This window comes from Homo sapiens, chromosome 15, assembly GCF_000001405.40.
Source record: "Homo sapiens chromosome 15, GRCh38.p14 Primary Assembly".
NCBI lineage: Eukaryota > Metazoa > Chordata > Mammalia > Primates > Hominidae > Homo > Homo sapiens.
Window position 1 is genome coordinate 29,714,579 of NC_000015.10, and position 25,109 is coordinate 29,739,687.

At 40.2% G+C, this 25,109-nt stretch overlaps 1 protein-coding gene and 1 pseudogene across 30 annotated transcripts in view, besides 1 other annotated feature; one reads left to right on the forward strand and one right to left on the reverse strand.

Moving 5' to 3' along the window:
• Nucleotides 1–25,109, reverse strand: part of TJP1 (tight junction protein 1) — a 269,683-nt gene that overhangs the window by 15,212 nt on the left and 229,362 nt on the right. For 16 of the 30 annotated variants that reach the window (NM_001355012.2, XM_011521972.3, NM_001301025.3 and 13 more), the window contains 13 exons: nucleotides 22,686–22,836; nucleotides 19,696–19,804; nucleotides 18,516–18,735; nucleotides 18,053–18,237; nucleotides 17,855–17,950; nucleotides 13,359–13,441; nucleotides 12,203–12,413; nucleotides 11,801–11,901; nucleotides 5,780–6,130; nucleotides 5,199–5,438; nucleotides 3,688–4,560; nucleotides 3,443–3,540; nucleotides 2,033–2,260 (listed from right to left, as the gene is read on the reverse strand). In NM_001355012.2, the coding sequence (NP_001341941.1) occupies nucleotides 2,033–2,260; nucleotides 3,443–3,540; nucleotides 3,688–4,560; nucleotides 5,199–5,438; nucleotides 5,780–6,130; nucleotides 11,801–11,901; nucleotides 12,203–12,413; nucleotides 13,359–13,441; nucleotides 17,855–17,950; nucleotides 18,053–18,237; nucleotides 18,516–18,735; nucleotides 19,696–19,804; nucleotides 22,686–22,836 (2,946 nt within the window). The remainder of the gene's footprint in view (nucleotides 1–2,032; nucleotides 2,261–3,442; nucleotides 3,541–3,687; nucleotides 4,561–5,198; nucleotides 5,439–5,779; nucleotides 6,131–11,800; nucleotides 11,902–12,202; nucleotides 12,414–13,358; nucleotides 13,442–17,854; nucleotides 17,951–18,052; nucleotides 18,238–18,515; nucleotides 18,736–19,695; nucleotides 19,805–22,685; nucleotides 22,837–25,109) is intronic. The other 14 variants (XM_005254620.4, XM_047432984.1, XM_005254619.4 and 11 more) reach the window with 1 other exon arrangement.
• Nucleotides 3,391–4,590: an enhancer, noted in NCBI's record as "P300/CBP strongly-dependent group 1 enhancer chr15:30010173-30011372 (GRCh37/hg19 assembly coordinates)". NCBI's record gives its function as "activates an origin of replication core promoter dependent on BRD2, BRD4, P300/CBP, MED14 and CDK7 cofactors, with strong dependence on P300/CBP, by STARR-seq in HCT116 cells {active_cell/tissue: HCT116}" and the evidence as "EXISTENCE:reporter gene assay evidence [ECO:0000049][PMID:35650434]".
• Nucleotides 16,034–17,228, forward strand: HMGN2P5 (high mobility group nucleosomal binding domain 2 pseudogene 5; annotated as a pseudogene).

The window sequence follows — 25,109 nt, forward strand, 5'->3', positions numbered from 1 at the left end:
TGCCCAAGCTGGAGTCCAGTGGCACGATCTCGGCTCACTGCAAGCTCTGTCTCCCGGGTTCACGCCATTCTCCTGCCTCAGTCTCCCGAGTAGCTGGGACTATAGGAGCCCGCCACCACGCCCCGCTGATTTTTTTGTATTTTTAGTAGAGATGGGGTTTCATCGTGTTAGCCAGGATGGTCTCGATCTCCTGACCTCATGATCAGCCTGCCTTGGTCTCCCAAAGTGCTGGGATTACAGGCACGAGCCACTGCGCCTGGCCATATAATCTTTTTAAGGTTGTATTCTATTTACCAAATATGTAAAACGATAAATAAGAGATATCTTTAAACTAAACACCTGAGCCTTCTTCTGACAGGAATGAATGTGTTTAACGGTGTTTAGTAAAAATAATAACTAAAGGGTACACCCTTCTGCCTTACCAAAGGTGAGCTCCTATGGCTCAGTGCCTAGCTCACTTTAGGCTAGTCACCATTTAGATGTTACTGTGATAACTGTGTAAATGAATTCCTGTAACACTGTAAATGTAAATGAATTCCTAATGACAAATCCACATCTGTTTTTGTTCTTGTGGGTTTTGTTCTGTTGAGGTATGAACCCAGCTGTGCACCTGTGTGGGTTTATATTGTGCTAGCTCACTTCAGTCCAGACACCATCTAGATGCCACAACCCCTTTCTAGTGTTGTGCTAAGGGGTGGTTCACAACACTAGTACAAGACACGTTTTGCATTTAATACAACCCCCACTGCAGCACTCTCAGTTTGCATTTGGATTCTCATAAACTGCTTTCTTCTGTAAACATAAAGCCTTAAATATAGGACAGTGAAAAAAGTCTTCACTACAAAGGATGTCTTAGAAAAAAGCAGTGGTAATTAAAATTAGGTTTTAATGTTAGTGGTTTTAAAGTATGTTCTAAAACAATTTACACTCAATAGTAAATGACAAATAGGTCATTTCCCAAGATAATCCCAAGCCCACGCAACTAAGTAAGGAAAAATCTAGGTGCTTTTAATATAGACACAATACTATGTGTGATGAATTCTAATATGTCAATCTGGCTAGGTACTGCCATGAAGGGATTTTTCAGGTGTAATGTCCCCAAGTCAGTTGAGGGGAGATGGTCTTGGGAGGGCCTGGCCTAATCAGCAGAGCCCTCTGAATGAGAATTTAGGCCTTCCCTGATCTCACACTCCCCAGTAGCTCAAAATCTTCCCTTCCTGACCAACTGCCCTCTGAAATAGGACTTGCTTAGCCAGCCCCTGTAACTGTGTAAATGAATTTCTTTTGACAAATCCACATCTGTTTTTGTTCTTGTGGGTTTTGTTCTATTGAGGTATGAATCTACCTGTGTGCCCGTGTGGGCTTAGACACAACTATCAGTACCAAATTCTCTTATCAGTCAGGGTTCAACCAGAGACACAGAACCAGTAGGAGACACAAACCCACGCAGGCACAAGAAAGGAGAACAAACCAACACGAAACCCAGGGATGAGTAAACGGAGGGGAGCAGCAAGCACAGGGAAAAGATGACTGGGAGTCAAGAAACTTGGGGTTCAGTCCCAGCTCTGCCCTGTCATTTTCCCTCACCTGTAAAACTGGATCAGAAATCTTACAAAAACAAAAAACAAAAAACCTCTTCAGTATTTCCCTCAAACAGGATCCTCCTCACATCTGTATTTATATTTAAAAAATAAAAACAGAAAAGAAAAAGAACCAGCATGACATCATTAGGTGTGTGTACAGAAGTGAAGACTGATGATTACCTATCGATGAGGGTCCTTGTGGTTGACACTGTCTTCCGTCAAAACCCTGTGATGTTAGCATCTTTGTGAATGCAAAAACTATGTACATCTAATAGCAGACTTTAAAAACAAAACACACATCCCAGAACTAAAAAGTATGTACAATGCTGAACCACTAGAGCCTACAGAAATCATATATTACACTTAAATTATTTTTCTTCAAAATATATTGAACTGCACGGGATTAATATGCTGCATCCTATTTTTAAAAGCCAGGTGAAATAGCTTACTTTGAAGAATAACTAGAAAAATTTGATTGATTCTGAGAATGCGCTGGCTTTGCAGGCTCGGAGAGATGGCTGGCGGCAATGTGTGCAGGAGGCTTATTCTCAAAACTTCTTCGGTCAAAGTATGACAGCTGTTTTCGATAATATTCTTCATCTTCTTCAGGGTCATAATGATTGGACCGAACAATATCTTCAGGTGGCTTCAGTTGAGGTTTTTGAGGTTCTGGGATCCTAACAGATAATGAATGACAAACGGAACACCTTTTTAAATATTAATGTTATGAAGGAAGTAGAATATGTAAGTCTTATCTTGACTAAAAGGTCAATAATTACTAACTGCTGTGATTACTGAGGATCTGAGCAGTCCCAACAGTTAAAATGGATATTTCAAATCCCATGTCCTCACAGAGTATACTCAAAAGGCAGCCCCCTTCTGGCTCATGAGTCCTTTAACACAATATAATAAGCTAAACGATTACATGATTAGGGAACAGCAGGTTAGAAGTAGTTAATCAGAAAGACAAAGGGCAATGTAACCGAGACAGTGAACATCTTGAGAAGTACATATACCAAGGTCAAGAACAGTAAATGATAGACTTTAAGAACTTTCAAAGGGATTTTTAAGAACTCAGTCCAGGATCTCAATGATTCTCATATGAACAAATAACTCTATATGGTCTAAAGTTCTAGAAGGCATACAAAGCAGATGAGGAAGAAAGCAAGTCATTAAGTAAATTCATATTAGACAGTTCTCTTCTTTATCCTAAGTGCAAACATATATTCAGTCAAAAAACAAAATCAGAAGAGCTGTATTCAAATCTAATCTGTCACTTATTGGCAGTGCAATGAGGCCATGGGAAAAAGCTCAGGCTGAGGAGCAGCAGGCCAGGTTTCTCTTCCAGCTCTAAGTCTTGTAAGCTACTTGCCCCTCTCAGCCTCAGTGTCTCTCTCTACAATGCAGAACAACAACAGTGTCACCTCATTATGCTGATGTGCTTAGCACAAGGGCAAGCACCTTATGCATGCTCACTAAATGATTTAGTTATCTTAACCAATCTGAGTCTGTTTCCTCACCACTGGAAACTAAGAGTTCACATGTCGAAAAGCACTTTTAAAACTAAAAAACATAATACAAATGTCAGAGCTTAAAAATGTTTATTTAATCATCTGCTTGGAGAATATCTTTCCGAAAGTCTGCTAAAGGTATAAAGATTTGTCAGATTTGTCAGAAATAAAGTTCTACTTTTTTTCCCCCTAGAATCACTGTTTAGGAGAGCTGATAGTTTTTATTTAAGGACAAACTCCTCCTATTCACACCTCTCCTCTACTAACACAGTAAAAGGTTTTCTTATTGACTAAGAGGGTTAAATTCCTGGTCAGTTCTATGCCACAAAGAGCACAAAGTGTACTCACCTGTACAGAGTTTTGTCATGTTCACTGAATTGATTCTGAGAAGTGGGTTTGGGACCAATGATGGGAGCACCTGAAGGTTTAGATGCTACTTCTGGAGGCTGTTTAAAAAAAAAAAAAAAAAAAAGACAAATATGCCTAAGGAACAGATAATTAACAGAATAGATATCATGTAATGGCGGAGGGGAGAGCCAAGAAGCCTTTTAAACGGTGTGCCCATGCATCCAAGGCACTAAAGACATATTTACCTTAAAACTGCCAGTGTCATTTACATCCTTCTTGGTCTCTAAGGATGCAGATCTTTTGTTTTCAAACATCTTAACTCTGGTGAGTACAGACTGTGGCTTCATTGCTGGATCTTCCTCTTCTTCGGTTTGAGTTGGGGGTGGAGGCAGTGGTTTGGTGTTTGAAGGCAGAGCTTCTGGCTTATGCTGAGATGAAGGTATCAGCGGAGGGACAGCTGCAGCACCATGGAGAGGCTCAAAATGACCTGCTCTAGAGGTAAATCCTTGGGGTGGTACTTGCTCGTAACTGCGTGAATATTGCTCAAAATACTGCTTGGACTCTGCAGGCTTGGGCCCTGCTGAAGGGTGGGGCTGGGCTTCCGGTCTGAGTCTACCATGTGTGTCATACCCAGGAGCTGGCTGCTCTTCGTGCCGCAGGGCGGATGCTCTAGGTGCCTGTTCGTAACGTGGTCTGCTGTCGTAAGACAGAGGGGCTGGCTCTTCAAAACGTGGAAAGTACCCTCGTTCTGAGGACTCTTCGGGATGCTGTCTGGAGTCAAGGTCTTGAGAGTGCTGATTATCAAAAGGTGGCCGAGATGGGTAGGGCTGTTTGTCATCATAATATGACCACTGTTCTTCATACATGGGGACGCGATCTTCGTATCGCAGACGATGTTCATAGTTTCGAGAAAACTGGTCCGTATAGCTTGAGGACTCGTATCTGTATGTGGGCTGCTCGAGGTCTCTGCTGGCTTGTTTCTCTACGTATGGGAGTTGGGGTTCATAGGTCAGATTAGGCTCTTTGTCTGGCCTGTGCCCTGGGTGACTAACGGCTGGCTGTTTCAAAACATGGTTCTGCCTCATCATTTCCTCGGGATATGGATCCTTTCTATACACCTGTATAAAAAATTCACATTTAAGGACAAAGTCTTGTTTCTAATTCTAGTCTATTTTATTAGACTGTGATTAAATATTAAACTACGATTTAATATGTGAAAATGGTATGTTTTACCATTTATTATCAGGATAGACAAGATTAGTGGAAAAAGCTGGTTTAAGTGAAAGCTCAAAATTTATAATGCAGGTAGGGGCTTTTATGTTTCAGCATGTACTAAATAAACAGTGAGTTAAAGATAAATATTAAATTTAGTAGAAAATTAATGCACTATTGATTACACTTCATTTTGACACTGAAAAATCCTAAAGAAGATTTATGGGCATCATAATTTGTATTAACATAAATATGTTTATGATGGGTTTCGATTACATATTAAGGAATTCTGGAAGATACTGAAAGCCAAAAATAAAAATAATAAGCACAAATCTCAATTAAAAGGCCTGTTTTCAAATAATCAGTATACCAATGGAAGCCATGCAAACTACGAAACTGAAATGATTTGTATTGATTTGAAAGCATTACAGTGTATAAGCCTGCAGTAAAAAAGCAAAAGGAACACTTAAAGGGCAAAGCAAAAATGATCATGTGCCAGATTGATGGACAGCAACAAATTAGTGCAACACCGCAGCACAGGTACCTTTGTTGGATCTACATGCGACGACAATGATGGTTCTTGATCTCTTAGCATTATGTGAGCTGCCTCAGTACTTGGTGTTCTTAAAGAATCAGCTTGTGGTGAGTAAGAGGTGGAAGGAGCTGGGGTGGGCTCCTCCAGTCTGACATTAGTTAAATTTACATTATGATTAACAGCAGAGGTTGATGATGCTGGGTTTGTTTCAGGCGAAAGGTAAGGGACTGGAGATGAAGCTTCTGCTTTCTGTGAAGTGTTTAAAATATTTTAAATATAGTGTTTCTGTTTACTGCTAACTTTCCACTTCAATTTATAGTGATTGGTAGACATACATTTTAAGTGTGCTGAATAACAAAATTATGACCTCATGTCCTAAACTTTTTGGGAAAAAAAAAAAATCCAGTACATTGCTGTGTTAAGACAAACACACAAAATTTAGAATTAAGCCCTTGGTACTCTCAAATTGAAATTGAAGATTAATTCTTAATCTGGAGAAAGGACAACATATATATTTTTAACTCAATCACCACATTCTAAAATTTAATAATGCACCTCTATCTACAAAACGTTGAATGCTTGCTGCTTACCTGTTGAGAGGCTGGCTTAAATCCAGGGGAGTCTATTCTATGAATTGGTTGTGGCTGCGCTTGTGGTGAGTAAGGAGGATATGTTTGGTTTTCATGATGCATTCCAGAGGAGTCCTCTCTTACAGGCTCAGAGGACCGTGTAATGGCAGACTCCGGTGGAGTCCCAACCTCATCATTAAGAGTTTCATCTAGTTCTTGATCAGTGTAGGCCCCGCCTTCTGTGTCTGTGTCTTCATAGTCAGAAGTGTGTCTACTGTCCGTGCTATACATTGAGTATTCACTACCTGGAGCTGACAGGTAGGACAGACGATCATCATGCAAATCAAGGTCATCACTTGTAGCACCATCCGCCTGGGTCAAATAAAAGTAAATTACAAATTTTATTCAGTAGTTCTTTAAGAGATGGCCTTTATCGTACAAGGCAGATTGAAAAGGATATCTTTCTCTGGAGAAGTCACATCTACTTCTTGAAACTTCTGGTAAGGAAAAGTCAAGAAGATTGTACAAGCACACACGCAGACACATGGAGCACCCCTTGAGATCTGAAGGGCATGGATGAAGGAAACAGTGGCCGGTAAGCCAGGACAAAGTTAGACTCCAGGGCCCAGCCCTGGAAGACAACGAAGAAACTCTGACACTGCTCAGATTTATAAAACCTACTCACTAGCTCTTCAGCCCTTTTAAGCAAGGGGAAGAGGGAGAATGTTACCAAACTAAGCTCACAGAAACAAGGACACACTGACAGAATAGCACATGGAAGAATACCTATGAAATAAACCCAACAGTTCAAAAGTTGAATAAGAGCTAATATATTTATGTTTAGGAAACAACTGATATGGTTTGGATTTGTGTTCCCACCCAAATCTCATGTTGAATTGTAATCCCCAGTGTTGGGGGAGGGGCCTGGTGGGAGGTGACTGGATCATGGGGGTGGTTTCTAATGGTTTAGCACCATCTCCCTCACACAGTCTTGTGATAGAATTCTCCCAAGATCTGTTTTTTTAAGTGTGCAGCACCTCCCCAACTCTCTTCCTCCTGCTCCAGCCATATAAGACATGCTTCCTTCCCCTTCCGCCACGATTGTAAGTTGCCTGAGGCCTCCCCAGAAGCAGAAGCCTGTACAGCCTGCAGAACTGTGAGCCAATGAAACCTTTTCTTTATAAATTACCCAGTCTCAGGTGGTTCTTTATCACAGTGTGAGAATGGACTAATACAGTAAATTGGTACCAGAGAAGTAGGGCATTGCCAAAAAGATACCTGAAAATGTGGAAGCAGCTTTGGAACTGGGTAATGGGCAGAGGTTGGAACAGTTTGGAGGGCTCAAGAGAAGACAGAAAAATGAGGGAAAGTTTGGAATTTCCTAGAGACCTGTTGAATGGTTTTGACCAAAATGCTAATAGTGATATGGACAATAAAGTCCAGGCTGTGGAGGTCTCAGACAGAGATGAAGAACTTACTGGGAACTGGAGTAAAGGTCATTCATTCTTGCTATGCTTTAGCAAAGACACTGGTGGCACTGTGCCCCTGCTCTAGTGATCTGTGGAACTTTGAACTTGAGAGAGATGATTTAGGGTATCTGGTGGAAGAAATTTCTGAATAGCAAAGCATTCAAGATGCGACCTGGCTGCTTCTAACAGCATGTGTTCATATGTGTGCACAAACAGATTATCTGAAACTGGAACTTATATTTAAAAGTGAAGCAGAGCATAAAAGTTTGGAAAATTTGCAGCCTGGCTATGCAGTAAAAAATAAAAACCCATTTTCTGGGGAGGAATTCAAGCTGGCTGCAGAAATTTGTTAAGTAACGAGGGACAGAATATTAACAGACAAAACAATGGGGGAAAATGTCTCCAGGGCATTTTGGAGGCCTATGCGGCAGCCCCTCCCATCACAAGCCTGGAGGCCTAGGAGGGAAAAAATGGTTTTGTGGGTGATCCAGGCCCGGCCCTGCTGCTCTGTGCAGCCTCAGGACATGGTGCCCTGCATCATGGCTGTTCTAGCTCCAGACATGGCCAAAATGGGCCAAGTTACAGCTCAGGCTGTTGCTTCAGAGGGTGCAAGCCCTAAGCCTTGGCAGCTTCCACATGATGCTAAGTCTGCGGGTGCACAGAGGGAGACAGTTGAGGCTTGGGAGCCTCTGCCTAGATTTCAGAGGATGTATGGAAATGCCTGGATGTCCAGGCAGAAGTCTGCTGCAGGAGCGGAGCCCTCATGGAGCACCTCCAGGGCAGTGTGGAGGGGAAATGTGGGGTTGGAGCCCCCCACCAGACAGTCCCCACTGGGGCACTGCCTAGTGGAGCTGTGAGAAGAGGCCCATTGTCCTCCAGACCTTAGAGAGGTAGGTCCACCAACAGCATGCACCATGCACCTGGAAAAGCCACAGGCACACAATGCCAGTCCATGAAAGGAGCTGCAGGGGCTGTGCCCTGCGTGGCTACAGGGGCAGAGCTGTCCAAGGCCTTGGTAGCTCACCCCTTGCATCATTGTAGCCTGGGTGTGAGCAGTGGAGTCAACGGAGATTATTTTGGAGCTTTAAGATTTAATGACTAATCTACTTACTTTTGGAATTTCATGGGGATTGGAGCTCCTTTGTTTTGGCAGACTTCTCCATTTTGAAAAGGGAGTATTTACCCAATGTTTATGTCCCCTTTGTATCTTGGAAGTAACTAACTTGTTTTTGATTTTACAGGCTCCTAGACAGAAGAGACTAGCCTTGTCTCAGATGAGACTTTGAACTTCTGAGTTAATGCTGAAATGAGTTAAGACTTTGGGGCACTGTTGGGAACGCACCATCATATTTTGCAATGTGAGAAGGACATGAAATTTGGGAGGGACCAGGAACAGAATGATATGGTTTGGATTTGTGTCCCCACCCACATCTCATGTTGAATTATAATCCTCAGTGTTGGAGTGGGGCCTGGTAGGAGGTGATCACGAGGGCGGTTTCTAATGGTTTAGCACCATCCCCCTAATACTATTTTGTGATAAGAGTTCTCCCAAGCTCTGTCTGTTTAAAAGTGTGTAGTACTCCCCCCTTCTCTCTCTTCCTCCTGCTCCAACCATGTAAGACATGCTTTTTCCCCTTCACTGTCTTAAGTTTCCTGAGGCCTCCCCAGAAGCAGGAGCCTGTACAGCCCACAGAACTGTGAGCCAATTAAATCTCTTTTCTTTATAAGTTACCCGGTCTCAGGTAGTTCTTTACAGCAGTTCAAGAGCAGACTAAAACAACCTGTTAAACATTTGGCCCTTAAAGCTGTTATGAAACACAATGGAAAATCATCACCTACATGGTGGTTGCTACATTAAGAAGAAATTATTTATTATTTTTCATAGAAACAGTATCCAACAGATGGAGAGGAAGAAATACAGTAATGCTTTTCTTTTGTTAAGTAATTAAGAACTCAGTTTCTAATAGTTTATGTTGATTATCTTCTGAGTAGATCAGAAAGAAAGTGAGAAGTATTTGAGGGAAAGGAAGCTACAGAGTTGCAATCAACAGGTTATCACTGGACACTAACGTGACACTAGTACCTGGATGAAAAAGAACACTCCCTGAAGACCCTGCCTAGACACCGTGCTCAGTTACTCATGAGAGCTGAAGGATCTGGAATCCAGGAATCAGAAAGTATTTCTTCCACTTCAGTATGGAATGAAGGACAAACATGAAACTCTTGTCCTCCAGAAAGATGCACTGCTATTAACTAGCAGGTTTGGTGTGGCTCTGCAGGTCTGCTGTGCCAGAAGCATGGTCTTGGGAGTCAAGTTGCCTGAATGGAGCTTTCCACGCAGTCCCCATGCTTGGCTCGTTAAGACTCTGACCTTGAGCACTGCCTTCCTGATAAGAAAGACTAGGGTGTGTCAGGTCTCCCCATGCTCCAGTTTTCAAGAGAGCATCTGCCAGGCTGGGCTGGGGAGAGTGGGAATCCAGGGATCTATCCTGTTAGAGCACAATCCCTCTGAACAAGTCTCAATGGCTTCTCAACTCGGTAACAGCTGTTGCAGAAGAAAAGTCTTCTTGCTATCTACTCTAATCTTTAACTTGCCAGGGTTCTGAATACTATAATCCAGTAGCCAGTCAAGGAAATATTGAAAGTCTGGGCAAGAATAACTTAGAACTAATCAATCCACTTAAGTTTTTAAAGCTGGTTTGAAATGCAGATGTAAGCAAGAACGATGGGTTGCTTTGAACTAGGAAATATGTTAAGAAAGCCTCAGGATGACTTTTCCTGGTTTAGCAGGGAATATGTAAGACTGTGTCAGATCTTGTAAAAAGGAACTCTTTCTAGCAATTAGGTCAAAGTAGTTGGTTCAGGAAAGTCAATGTGAAATGAAGTAGTTTTAGTTTAAGAATCTATTCTATGAAATATACTTGAAGAGAAGAGGACAGGAAGATAAGCTGTAAGTTGTAACAACCTTTTCTGGCTTACAAAATGCATCAGTCTAGCCTGATAATAAATAACCTATTTTTCCTCACATAAAAAGCTAGAAAGTTGGACCTTTATTTTAAAACCAAGCAAAGAAAGCACACAAGACTATCACTAAAATACTTTATAGAAAATTAAGATTTGTGGATTTTAAAAAAGCCTCTCAGATACTACAAATGTATACTTTGTGCATTTTGGGAAAACATTTATAGACTACTTTCATTTTAAGAATTCACTAGTGAAAGCTATTAACATTGGACCTGCCAAAGGATGTTAACAGAATTGTGTTGCTATAGAAGGTTAGTATGAAGACTACAATCCTTTCAAGTGCTGCAAAAGTAGAAATTAGTAATAGTGTGTTCATGTAAAGTGGTGTGGTTTGTTTCCACCTTCATTTTCCTATCCAGTTCCAGCTGACATGTTATTCAGAGTGGTCTTAGGCTCTCGTATGCATGGTCCATCCCCCAGACTGGTTCATAATGAGAAAAACCATAGTTCTGACACATTACTATAGGTGAGAACAATAGACACTGCCTCTCAGTGTTAACAGCTCTCCTTGCAGAGGCTGTGTATGTCTGGGTAGAGGACATGGGGGGTCCTAAGCATGCAGCATGCACTGTCAGAGCATCTGTAGCCACAGCCAGGCAGAGGAAGGTAGGGACCATGCGGGGGCAAAACACAACAAAAACCAAACCAACAAGGAAGTACAAAGAACAAAATAAAAACCAGAGATACTCTCAATCTTCCCTAATAACCAAAACTTACTGCACTGATCTGAAAAAGGTAAAAGACATTTAAAAAAAAAAAGCTTCCCTCAATGGTGTATTCTGAGGAAATGATTAACTCTCCAGACAAAATAAACAGACCTTCCCATCAAAGATTGCTATAAAACCAGAAAGACTGACAATAGAAAGTAGTTATTTTAAAGCTGGCCATTTGGACGTATAGAAAACCAAAATTCAAAGCCAGGAAGGATCTATTGCTTTGTTCAATATCTCCCAGTATGTTGTGAGAATGTTAACAGGTGTTGAGTGAAAAATAAATGCAAGGAAATGCATGAAGTCGGCTTTTTAACTTTTAAGATGTCTCAGAGCCTTTAAATGCCAGTGGGTACGAGGATACTCGTGAGGGGTCTAGGGTTTATTTCCCATCCGCTGCTTGCCTTCATAGTGCCTTCTCTCTTAGAGCAAGTCCTGAATTGAGCATGCTGAGGACAGCACTTTGGGAGATGCTCATCTAGGCCATCCAAATCCCCTCATTTTCAGAGGAGGAAACTGAAGCCAGGCTCAAAGTCATCATTCATAGCCAGACAGGGGCAGCATCAGAACTCAACCTGCTCTTCATTATAATTTAAGATTCTTTAGGAGACAATCCTACTGCAGTGGTAATTCAACAGGTGAGAAAATTTAAGAATTCTCTTACCATCAGAAACAACTTTCATAACCCCTACACACAAATTATAAAAACCTAAAAGCTAACTTTCCCCAAATTTCTCCAATATGTTGATCTAATTAGAAAGCACTGGTATCTCAAAAGCATCTCTGATTAGTTACATAATTTACTGAACAAGTCAAAAAAGTAATAGGAAATGTCTTACCTTTCCCTCGGAAACCCATACCAGCTGGTTTTGCTGTTGTTGAATTGCTTCTTTCAGCGCACCATACCAACCATCATTCATTGAATTTAAGTTAATTGTAGCTGAAAATAAATTAACGATGTAGTTTTATGGTTAGAGCACTGCCAAAAGTCAGAATTAATTCAACCCTGCTTACAGCTAAATCGTCATTACTGAAAGATGGTATCTGAGGATGCAAACATTTGAAATTTCTATTTTGCTACTGTATATTTTCTTTTAACCAAACAGCAGGTGTTAACACAACAGGAAGCTTTCCAAGAAAGTATCATGTAAGTTTTAGTATTTGAACACCGTAACATTTTGGCCTACTTAATGTTGCCCAGACATTGTAAGCTGAAAGAAGGCCTTTATTAACATACTCACTTGTAAAAAGATGGTGATTATTTTTACGAAGTTTATGAGATCGCTCGTATAACTTCCTGGCACTTTTCCGAGATTCTGGACATAACCTCATTCTCATTGTTTTTACTCCTTGCTTAGAATCAGGGTTAAGAAATACAACAATTGGATACCACTGGGCATAGTTAAGACGATCAACTGCATTTGGTGTTACATCTAATAAAGCATGTTTGTCCTAGAAACAGAAAGAAAAATATATACAAAGACACAAGACATCATTAATTAAGAATCACCAAATTCAGCTGGGTGCAGTGGCTCACGCTACGCCTATAATCCTAGCACTTTGGGAGGTCGAGGTGGGTGAATCACTTGAGGCCAGGAGTTCCAGACCAGCCTGGCCAGTATGGAGAAACTCTATCTCTACTAAAAATACAAAAACTAGCCAGGCATGGTGGTGCACGCCTGTAATCCCAGCTACTTGGGTGGCTGAGGCACAAGAATCACTTGAACCTGAGAGGTAGAGGCTACAGTGAGCCGAGATCACGCCACTGCAGTCCCACCTGGGCAACACAGCAAGACCCTACCTCAAAAACAAAAACAAATACAAACCAAAACAAAACAAAACACCCCATCACATTCAGAAAAAGTCAAAAGTCTGTACTATATTTCAGTGGTAACAGATCTCTTTGTATTCTAATGTCTCAGGAGCACATATTAAAAAACTAATTGTAAGTTAACTCAATTCCATTTCTAGCCAAATTTCTAAAAACCTTTCTATGAAGCTCACTTTTAAGACTTAGCCCTAACACCGCAATCTGACAGTATTATCCACGTACAGTTAGAATAAAAATGTTTAAGAATTTAATGTTCCTGACATTCCTTATGAATGTAAATAACAAACTACAACTTGAATTGTACTGATATAATATATAAGCAGTCTGTTAATTACATCTAAAAATCATACACTTGTTTTGTGGTAATGAAAAATCATCTTCTGATGCCTACAGTAACTATTCTCTTGAAAGTAATCATTATAATGCTTTTCAGTAAGGGCTTAATTTTCTTATAGTATGTCAGTAATAGTCTCAGAAAAACTACCTTCTACTTTCAAATTAACCAAATCCCATCCCACTCAAAACCACAATAACATAATGAAATGGGTCAAGTTTTAATAACTTACTTGATCTATGATTTGCTTTATTGTATGCAGGCGAATAATGCCAGAGCTACGTTGGTCAGTTCCAGCGTCTCGTGGTTCACTCTCTATTCATTATGTCAGGACAAAAATAAGACATCAAATTTTCACTGGTTAGACAGGAGTTTCTCAACTACTGGCCACAACTGATATGCCGGACTGGATAGTACTTTGTTTGTGGAAACTGTCTTATGCATGCAGTACTTAAAGTGAGTTTTAATATGCATACTTCCCTTTTTTTTTTTCACTATTTTTTCAACTACTTTAATATTCTGGAAAAAAACTTAGCCATTAAAGAAGAAAAAATATACAGGAATGCACATTTTTTTCTTTTGCCTGGGGCTCTAATATGGCTCAACAGGGCACTACTTCCCACCCTTTTTCACACTGTAACATCCAGAGAAAATATTATTTGTATGGCACACTGAGATAAACTGAGGGGGCTGCTCCTTTGCCAAGCTCTAACCAGCCACTACTGGCTTAAGAGGTCAATACCTTGGCATGTCCATCAACCATCGGTAATGGTGCTATAGTGGATTGCCTAGGGAGTTCTGGGTTAGAGACCTTAGTTACATCAGTAGAAGGGGAACCTGGGGGCAGGAAGCTGTTCATCTGTAACTGTGAGACAGCCTATGGCTTCATCCTGGCAACCTGTCTTCACTGGTGTATACTGTGCCAAATGCAGCTTGGGCTGGTTTCCAACCAACCATCTCAGAGCACAGCAACGTTTGTGACTCTGGTCACAAGGAAAGTTTGAAAGGAAAGGAAGAGCTTTGGTGTTTCAGAGATCAGACAAAGGCAGAGATCTGGAAAGACAAGTCACACTGAGGTTCAAGATAAATGATTTTGGAGAATGAGACTACCATAAGACAAAGCACCATGGGCAAGCAGGGCAGAATTTCAAATCTAGTGAACACTGGAGAATTAAGAAGAAAGATCAACTGGGAATTTTGGCTGGAAAAAAAATGCTACTAACTCCTCAACTCAAAAGACTGTCATTAGACTCAAAGAAGATATAAAACTAAGCTACCTGAATTCCCTGTTGTGGAGTAAACCTGATTAAACCAATGTATTACCCTTTAAGGCAGAGCTTTGTAAGTCATCATACTTGCTTTTCCCATATCTAAAAATCCTAAGTTTGGTTATGGGTAAGGGTTACCACCAACTTCCTTCAGGTGAAATGTCATCTACAGATAACTTAGCCAGGTGCGGTGGCAGGTGCCTGTAATCCCAGCCACTAGGGGAGGCTGAGACAGGAGAATCGCTTGAACCCAGGAGGCGGAGGTTGCAGTGAGCTGAGATTGCGTCAGTGCACTCCAACCTGGGCAACACAGTAAGACCTTGTCTCAAACAAAAGAAAACAAAACAAAACAAAACTTCTTCTGAAAAAACTAAGAAATAAACATTTTCTAACTTGCTCAGATTTTACTCAAATCATTTGTCTGCAAATCTTCTGATGTTCAGAAAATAAATATCCTTATTCAACTTCATTGGCAATGAAATGAAAAGCAATATATTAAAAAAAAAAGATGATGTTCTGATTCTTTAAATTAACACTATGCAGTTTAAAGATGTTACTGAGGGTCGGCTGGGTGCAGTGGCTCACGCCTGTAATCCCAGCACTTTGGGAGGCCGAGGTGGGCAGATCACGAGGTCAGGAGATCGAGACCATCCTGGCTAACACGGTGAAACCCCGTCTCTACTAAAAAAACAAAAAAATTAGCCGGGCGTGGTGGCGGGTGCCTGTAGTCCCAGCTACTCGGGAGGCTGAGGCAGGAGAATGGCATGAACCCAGGAGGTGAAACTTGGAGCCTGGATCTGAGATCGTGCCACTGCACTCCAGCCTGGGCGACAGAGCGAGACTCTGTTTCAAAAAAAAAAAAAAAAGGTTACTGAGGGTCATATAGTGCCAGTGGGAACAAAATCCCCAGCACAACTCTCTGGAAAGCAGAAACTTCATCATAATTATGGGAACAGCTATATTCTTAAGGATTTAAATCCTTTGGGAAACAAAGCAGGGCATAAACAAGCAAACAAAATATGGACAGATTTCTGTATCTTTTGTAATAGTAATATAAATTCGAAACAAACGATATAAAAAAAGCCTAACTGAACCAAAAATTGCAGGATAAAATGAAAATATGCCATTACCTATGAAAAAGAAAAATTGGATATAAACTTTTCTAAACAGTATAAATAAAACTTTGCCAAAATATGCTTAAAAGAGTGGAAGAAAATACAATGGAATAAAATTTAGGGTGGTGATATGTGTAAAAATTAACTTTCCAACTTTTCCAAACACAGAATGGCACTTTTATAATTACAAAAACAGTTTAAAAATAAAACAAAACTGGGTACAGTGGCTCACACCTGTAATCCCAGCACTTTGGGAGGCCAAGGCCAGAGATCACTTGAGCCCAGGAGCTCAGGTTCAGCCTGGACAACCTAGTGAGACCCTGTTTCTACAAAAATAATAATAATAATAATAATAATAAACTAGCCAGGCGTGTTGGCATGTGCCTGTAGTCCTAGCTGCTTGGAAGGCCGAGGTGTGTGGACTGCTTGAACCCATGAGTTTGGGACTACAGTGAGCAATGATCTAACCACTGCACTCCTGCCTGGGCAAGAGTGAGACTCTGTCTCTGAAAAAAAAAAAAGAGGAGCAGTGTGAAGAAGAGGCGAGAACGACCCCCGGACCGACCAAAGCCCGCGTGCCGCTGCATCCCACGTCCAGCACCTACGTCCTGTCGCCACCGCCACCATGCCCAAGAGAAAGGCTGAAGGGGATGCTAAGGGAGATAAAGCCAAGGTGAAGGACGAACCACAGAGAAGATCCGCGAGGTTGTCTGCTAAACCTGCTCCTCCAAAGCCAGAGCCCAAGCCTAAAAAGGCCCCTGCAAAGAAGGGAGAGAAGGTACCCAAAGGGAAAAAGGGAAAAGCTGATGCTGGCAAGGAGGGGAATAACCCTGCAGAAAATGGAGATGCCAAAACAGACCAGGCACAGAAAGCTGAAGGTGCTGGAGATGCCAAGTGAAGTGTGTGCATTTTTGATAACTGTGTATTTCTGGTGACTGTACAGTTTGAAATACTTTTATCAAGTTTTATAAAAATGCAGAATTTTGTTTTACTTTTTTTTTTTTTTTTTTAAGCTATGTTGTTCGCACACAGAACACTTCATTGTTGTTTTTGGGGGAAGGGGCATATGTCACTAATAGAATGTCTCCAAAACTGGATTGATGTGGAGAAAACACCTTTCCCTTCCAGTTTTGAGAGACTTCCTCTTGGCTCCCAGGAGGAGGGATTCCTTGACTTTGACACACATGGCCACCTTGGCACAAAAGCCTTGTGCTATGGAAAAACAAATTTGTTTTTATGTCCTCTTCTCCCTTTCCACGTTTCAGCATAGACTTAACTCCCTTAAGCCCAGACATCTGTTGAGACCTGACCCCTAGTCATTGGTTACCAGTGTGTCAGGCAATCTGGACTTTCCAGTGATGCCACTGAGATGGCACCTGTCAAAAGAGCAGTGGTTCCATTTCTAGATTGTGGATCTTCAGATAAATTCTGCCATTTTCGTTTCACTTCCTGAAAGTCAGGGTTGGCTTGTGAAAAGTTGTTAAACAACATGCTAAATGTGAAATGTCAACCCTCACTCTCAACTTTCCCTGTTCAGAGCATCAGATGAAGACTTCATTGGGTTTTATAGTGGCTTTCTGATTTTTGGTAGTCCATTGAAGAAGGGAGTTTGAAAGTTGTTGTATACTGTTAACGATTGTCTGCCCATGTCCTGCCTGAAATACCATGATTGTTTATGGAAAGTATCTTTAATAAAGCTGGATACAGTTTGGCTTGGAAAAAAAAAAAAGAAAGTAAATAAAACAAGGATCTGTAAGCAAAACGTATTTGGCATACAAAGCACTGCAGCCTCAATACTTATACTTACTATCTTATTATAAATGTCTGCAATAACAACAGCTGATAATATTAGCAATGTTTTATTACCCTTTTTAACTATTTGTGTATTTGTCAGTTTAATGACTAAAAGAGCTGGAATGGAGCAAGAAAGGGCTGTGGTCAAAGCCGAGTCTTGTCACTTGTTCACTGAGGGCCACCAGGAAGTTTAGACTGAAGAAACTGGAAAGGATCCACGCAATGACCATCCAAGTCTCAGGCTACTCAACTGTAACATGGATATTATACTCCTTACCTCAGAGCATGACTGGGAGGATTCAATGACATTGTATGTTATGCAATTTTCATATGAAGCCAAGAGTTTCCTAAACGGTGACTTTTCTCATTAAAAGAATTGGTGGAACAAGGACATGGTCACTGGGGTTTTCTCACCAAATTAAAAGAATGGGATAAACTGCTAATTTTTCACTGACAAAAAGTCTTATTTTTATTGAATGAGTGAATCAGAACTCACTCACTTTAGAGGTGTAACTCCCAACCTCATTTAAGTTAGCCTTGAGGCTACTTACTTGCAATTTGATAAATATCTGGTTCTTCTCTTGCCAGCTTTTCTCTGGCAACATCAGCTATTGGTCCAAAAATGGTTACAGGCCTCAGAAATCCAGCTGGAGAGAAATTCACATGAAAAACAGCATATTTTATACCTTTTCTTTCTTAAACATATTGACGTTAAAGGGTATTAGGTTAGTCTGTAGAAAATAAACTACCTTCTCGAAGAACCACTCTTTCATAAGCTGGAAACTTTGTTTGAACAGGCTGAGCGGACAAATCCTCTCTGCTTTTTCGAAGATTTCTCTTGGAGCTGCGAAGACCTCTGAATCTCCAGAAGTCAGCACGGTCTCCGCCTGCTGTTTTTGGAAGTGTATACTGTACACTGGCTAGCTGCTCAGCTCTACACAAGAAAGGAGAAAATTAAAATAAGGGCATTTAAAATGCAAAATGGAAAAAGACCCACAATGAAATGAAATATACAATACTGGATGGAAGTTCACATACAGTTTAAATCTTAATGGTTATAATAAAGAGGAGTTTGTAAACCTAAGTCAGTTATAGATACGTTGAATACAATGAAAAAGAATTCTTTACATTACCAAAATTTCCCAGTGGGATTGAAATGATCTATCATCATTTACTTGATTCACTCTATGAGAAGTATCCAAGCATTCATACCTGTTCTTATTAGGGATGATGCCTCGTTCTACCTCCTTATGATTTTTACCAATTCGAATAGCAAGCCAAGAGCCCAGTTTTCCATTGTACAAGGTATCCACAACACGGAACACCTCTCCTTTGTTAAAACTAAGTCCATAGGGAGATTCCTTTTCATATTCAAAATGGGTTCTAATATAGAAAGAATCTCCTACATCTGATTCTACAATGCGACGATAAACTAAAAGGAATAAAAACAAACACATTATCAATATTTAGTGGGATAACAATCTGAAAGACAGTACATTATGTAAAGATGCTATGATAATATCAATAATAATATCCAACAAATTCTTACTATGTGCCAGGTACTGTATTATTTCATGTATTCATCACTGTAAGAATTGAAACTCTTAGTACTTCCATTTTGCAGATGAGGAAACTGATGCAGAAAATACATCAAGTAACTTGTCAAAAGCCACATGCTTGTTTTCTATTATATCATCTAACTTATCTGCAAACATTATAGACATTTCCATATCTAAATCAGCAGTTCTCAAATAAAGGTAATTTTATCCCTCGCCATCCAACATTGGACATTTGCCAATATGCAGTTTTGACTGCCCCATCTGTGTACTGAAAGGGTAAGGGGTGTGTGCTAGTGGCATCTCATCTAGTGAGCAGAGGCTAGGAATGCCCCTAAACATCCACAATACACAGGACAGCCCCTAAAACCACATTATTTGGTCCAAAATGTCAACAGTGCCAAGGCTGAGAAACCTGGCTCTAAGTGAAAATTGTATCACAGAAAAAATGGAGTTTTCTCTTGAATTAATGCTAATAAACATCTGAGTGTATTGCTTAGAAACATCAGTACAAAATCTGAAAGCTGCTCATATATACTTTTGTATGGTTCTGATGGCTAATAAATCAACACTTTCTATCACTTGTAAAGGGTTGGATGGCATTTTATTTAAATTAGAATACTATAAAGGTTAGTCCTATTAGCATGCTCTGCTAATGAGAATCATCTGAAATTCTGTGCTCCTAAATGACTTAGAATTACATAACTTTCTTTGAGATTAACAAATTCATTCATCACTCAACTATGAGTGACTTATTTTTTAAAAATGGAATAAATCCCTTTGTAAGTCCTCAAACTCTACAGGTTTATCTCCTCCATTTTCTGACAGCATCTCACCATCCTTCTTCTTCTGAGCCAATATGGTCACTTCTTCTCCTTTAGGGAGGTCAAGCAGGAAAAGGACGGCTTCTTCTCTTATGATATTTGTAAAATCTACGTTGTTTACCTAATAAATAAGATTTCATAAATCATTCTTGGCTGTTTAAGAATATGAAAATAACATACGCAGGACACAGATACTCTCAGTCTACCTAATTTGAAAATATCACATCTTTTTTTTTTTTTGAGACAGAGTCTCGCTCTGTCGCCCAGGCTGGAGTGCAATGGCACGATCTCAGCTCACTGCAACCTCCACCTCCCAGGTTCAAGTGATTCTCCTGCCTCAGCCTCCCGAGTAGCTGGGATTGCAGGTGCCCACCACCACACCCAGCTAATTTTTTTATATTTTTAGTAGAGATGGGGTTTCACCATGTTGGGCAGGTTGGTCTCAAACTCCTGACCTCAGGTGATCCGCCCGCTTTGGTCTCCTAAAGTGCTGGGACTACAGGCATGAGTCACCACACCCGGCCGAAAATATCACATCTTTTAAGACCAAAAACTTTATTTTACTTTGGAGAAAAGAATACACTCTAATTTTAAAAAAACAGAAACAAATAAAGTGAGTTAAAGGTATAAATTTATTTAAATAGTATTCAGTGTGTCCTGACATTAAAGATCTGTGTAAAATTTAACCAGTTTAGATGAAAAAAGGTAACTTTTTACAAGTTGCTGAGAAAAAAAATCAAAAGAAAATGGGACTAAAAAGACAATCTGCACTGTAGCAACCCTGTAAGAGCATCTGTGTAATGCAGGCTCAGTGTTTGCCAAGTTAATATTTACTTCTATTAGAAGCTTCTAAATGCCAAAATGAACTTATTAAAATGTCACCAGTGACTGTGTGCAGGATTACAGGCAGGTTTTCTTCTTTCCACCTTTTGGAAATTTTCCAGATTAAAAAAGAAAAAAAAAAACCCTAGAAACAAAAAAACCTGACACGCACCACTTACTTTTATGATACAAAACAAAAGTGAACTATTAAGAAACATTTTTTAGCCAGGCGCAGTGACTCATGTCTGTAATCCCAGCACTCTGGGAGGCCAAAGTAGGTGGACTGCTTGAACCCAGGAATTTGAGACCAGTCTGGGCCACGTGGTGAAACCCTGCCTCTACAAAAAATACAAAAATTTGCCACGTGTGGTGGCTAATGCCTGTGGTCCCAGCTACTCAGGAGGCTGAGGGGAAGAATGTTTGAGCCTAGGTGTTTAAGGCTGCAGTGAGCCGTGATCACACCACTGCATTCCAGCCTGGGTGACAGTGAGGCGCTGTCTCAAGGAAAAAAAAAAAAAAAAAAGAAAGAAACGTTTAAAAAAATGTATGCCCTGATTACTTCAAAACAGGGTTAAGAGATGGGTAAGAAAATAGGTCTCTTTACTTTCCTTGGTATAGTGAACGTTATTATACATGTTGTATTTAAATGTTTTTGACCTAACTTGATTGACAACAATGTAAACATCATCAGAAAGAATGACCATATCAGATCAGATGGAAATAGGTCTGAAGTCACCATGATGCCTTGACTTTTTGACATGCTAAGTTTGAAGGGAAAAGGAGGAGGATTCAATGAGAAAATGACAGAGCTCAGGAAATTGCTAAGTGAAAAGACTTTGATTACGAGCTGCTCACTTGAGCAACCAAACCCAAGAAAGAGGCAGTGTAGCAAGAGAAGCAGAGAGTTACCAACATTCTCCAAGTTTTAAAAGTATCAGTAAAGAGGCAGGAAAAGAATAAAAAAATGTACCAGAATGGCAGTATTATGGAATCTAAGGAAAAAAGTACTTCAAAAAAGATTAAGACAGTCAAAACGCTGCTAAAAAATAAAGGAAAATGAGGCTTGAGGATGACATTAACTCAGCAATGGCTTATTGAAAACTGAGCTTCAGTGTGGTGAAGGTGGAAGCCAGGCTGCAAAACTGTATGACCACAATGATTGAAAAGAAAACAGGCAAGGGCCTCAACCACATCCTTCAACAAGTTAAACAGCAAAAAAGGACAAATAAGACAGTGGAAGATAGATGAAGAACCAGTGGAGAGAGAAAGACAAGAAAGTGAACAAAGCTACAAGATTCTGGAGCAGACAGGAGGCTGAATCCAGGACACTGGCAAGAGGCAGGCTGAGTACAGAAAGAGACCAGAATAGAGAGGCCACGGCAAAGACTTTGTGGTAGAGAAGCAGAATAAATGTAGGAGCTCACAATGGACAGATACCTTCTGATTAAAATGGGACATAGTTTAATCTAGCAAATCAAATGGAGGTTTGGATATTTTAAAAAGAAACAGGAGACAGATTAAGATGGTACTATGTCACTAGGTGAAACCGTTTATGGGGAAGGAAGGGAGGACTCTATAGACTCTACTGATACTCTGCATCTAACCTGGGCTTTCCTGATTTGTGTAACTAATCCTGTCTCTTGTGGAGTATGAAGTTTCAAAGCCAGGCAGCTTACACATTTGCCTTTGATGTGAATTCCATCTCCCTGTGTCTGAGCCATTATCTGGGGTTAAAAAGGTCCCAGAGGTTGTGTGGATTGCTTCAAGATGACTCATATGGGAGAGGAACACTTGATGTTGCTTGCTGCCAAGTTGTGGCCCATGGCAGAGTCCTGCCAGTCTGAATGTTTAGTTGAACTTCCAAAGACTACCTGGTAGATATTATCATCGGGATATAAGACTTATTTTCTTTTATTTCCATGAACACGAGTGGTAGAAATGAAATGTTACATTCTTTACTAACACAAAATATAGCAGTAAACAAGAGCAAGATACAAGAATGGGAAGTGAGAAGTCCAGCATAAGGTAGACCTGATGGATTTTGACTTTCAAAGTTTAACTGGCTCAATGGAGACTGCTTACAGATTACAATCTAATTACAATAGTAAGCTTGTTGTTTGATACCTTTTTCTGGTGATCCAAATACTTTTTAACCCACATAAGTTGCAATACTGACATACCCTGAGAATTTGATCACCTTCCTCTAAGCCTTCCTTGGCTGCAGGGCTATCTTCTAGAACGCCAGCTACAAATATTCCAACATCATTTCCACCAGCCAGCCGCAAACCCACACTATCTCCTTTTCTGAATTTTACCAATTTCATGCTGGGCCTGTTAAAACAGATATTTCATTTGAAACAGTTAAGAAGAGCTTAAAACGTTATAGCAATCACTACAGTGAAAACTATATTCAGAATTAAATAAAGAACCATCATTTCTAAAACTTCTCTCATACCACTATTTTACTAAATAAAATTTAGTGTTAGAATTCAAATCAGACTTAATAACACTATTTTCTGATTAACAGTTTTGGAATATTCAAATTTAATATGCAAGTACTATTTTACATAACTAATTTATAAAATTACTTTGTAAAACAATGTTTTCTCAACTCTCAAAGAGTTATGGTACATTCCAAATGGCTAAAAACATCTTCCATTTTTTCCACCCCAATTCACACATCATTTCTATTAATAACTGAAAAGTCAAATTTTTTAAAATAAAGGTAGAAATTGAAGTATAAATTGGCTAATTTTCCTAACACGATGGACTCAAAATAAGGCTCCAAGCATTGTGATTTCTACATGTAACAGAGAGTGATTTTTAAAAAAACTTTGCAGTTGGTGGAGTCTTTCAGTAGTTCACAGAGTAGTTCACTTACTCTGCTGCCCCTCTGAGTTTTACAATACAAATCATATAGTCATTCAGCCTTTCTACATTAGCCCCATATCCATTCTGTCCCTTTCTAGTTCTCTGAATGGAAAAAAAAAATAATGCATACACACCCACCTCTAGCATCAGTGTAGTGTTGAAACCTTGTGACATTCCTTAAAACAAATACTAAAGGATGCCTTCTAAGAACTGACTGGATAGAAACAGACTGTAATTAAAAATTACCCACTATATTTCCCTTCTAGGGATTCATAAGTACTCTCACATTCCTAGCAAGAAAATACACTATTTTACCTATTCTGACAAGAAGTGTAGAAAAAAATCCCTATACTCTTTATTATGTAATACTAACCAAATTATTAGAAACTAATAGATAACAATAACAACAACAACAACAAAAAGTCAAATAAATGAATGAAATGTGTTGAGGAAGGAGAGATTTCTAGTCTCTTTAAGCCAACTAAAGAGATCGCCTTAACTTTCAGAACTTACTATTTATTCATTTCTGATTGGGTTACCTGACCTGGAACTAACATCAGCTAGTCATAAAAGTAAGAGCCTGAGAAATCAGATGAGGTCTCTCACTGGCTGGTGGCATCCTTGATCCCTCCATGAAACTATTTACCAGCTTTACTACAAATGGTCCAAGCCCCTTGGTTGTAGTGGTATCCTAGCCAGGTCAAAAGCATTCTCATAGATTCCTCTCCTAAACCCATTGTACTGAAACCTCTTTAAATATTTCCTCAAAGTCCTTAAGACTCCAGGTCTCAGTTGGGTGTGGCAGCTCAAGCCTATAATGCCAGCACTTTGGGAGACTGAGGCAGGAGGACTGCTTGAGCCTAGGAGTTTGTTCCCAGCCCTGATCAACACAGCAAGACCCTGTCACTACTAAAAAAAAAAAAAAAAAAAAAAAAAAAATTAGCTGGGTTTCGTGGCTCGTTGCCTATAGTCCTAGCTACTCCGAAGGCTGAGGTGGGAGGATTCCTCGAGCCTAGGAGTTTGAGGTTATGGTGAGCAATGATCACACCATTATACTCTAGCCTGGGTGACAGAGTGAGGCCCTGTCTCTTTAAAACAAAGCAAAACAAAAACAAAAACAAAAGATAGGACTTTGGAAATCCTCTTCTAACCCTGACCCATCTAATGTGCTTCAAAAAGCAAAAACAACTGAGCACAGTATCCACCCTTTAGTAAAACATGGCTTCTGAAAACCACTGTTAGAAGACAGCTTTAGGCCATATCTCACCAACAGTGTCATGTGCCTTAGATGACTGACATTTTATACTTTGTCCTGCCTGCATTATATTAACTACTTGCAGTAGCAAAACAGACTCACTAACTTCTGCATCAAATCCATTCATTGGCTTTAAATGAAAAACCAAACCTTTCCTGGCACAGCTACTAATCCTGTCCACGTCCTCAAATCTTCCTTGGTATTTGTTCTCCCAGGGAAGGAGGTCTCTGGAATTTTTCTTTTTTCTTTTTTGAGATGGAGTTTTGCTCTGTCACCCAGGCTGGAGTGCAGTGGCGCGATCTCGGCTCACTGCAAGCTCCACCTCCTGGGTTCATGCCATTCTCCTGCCTCAGCCTCCCGAGTAGCTGGGACTACAGGCGCCCGCCACCACGCCCGGCTAATTTTTTTGTATTTTTAGTAGAGACGGGGTTTCGCCGTGTTCAGCCAGGATGGTCTCAATCTCCTGACCTGGTGATCT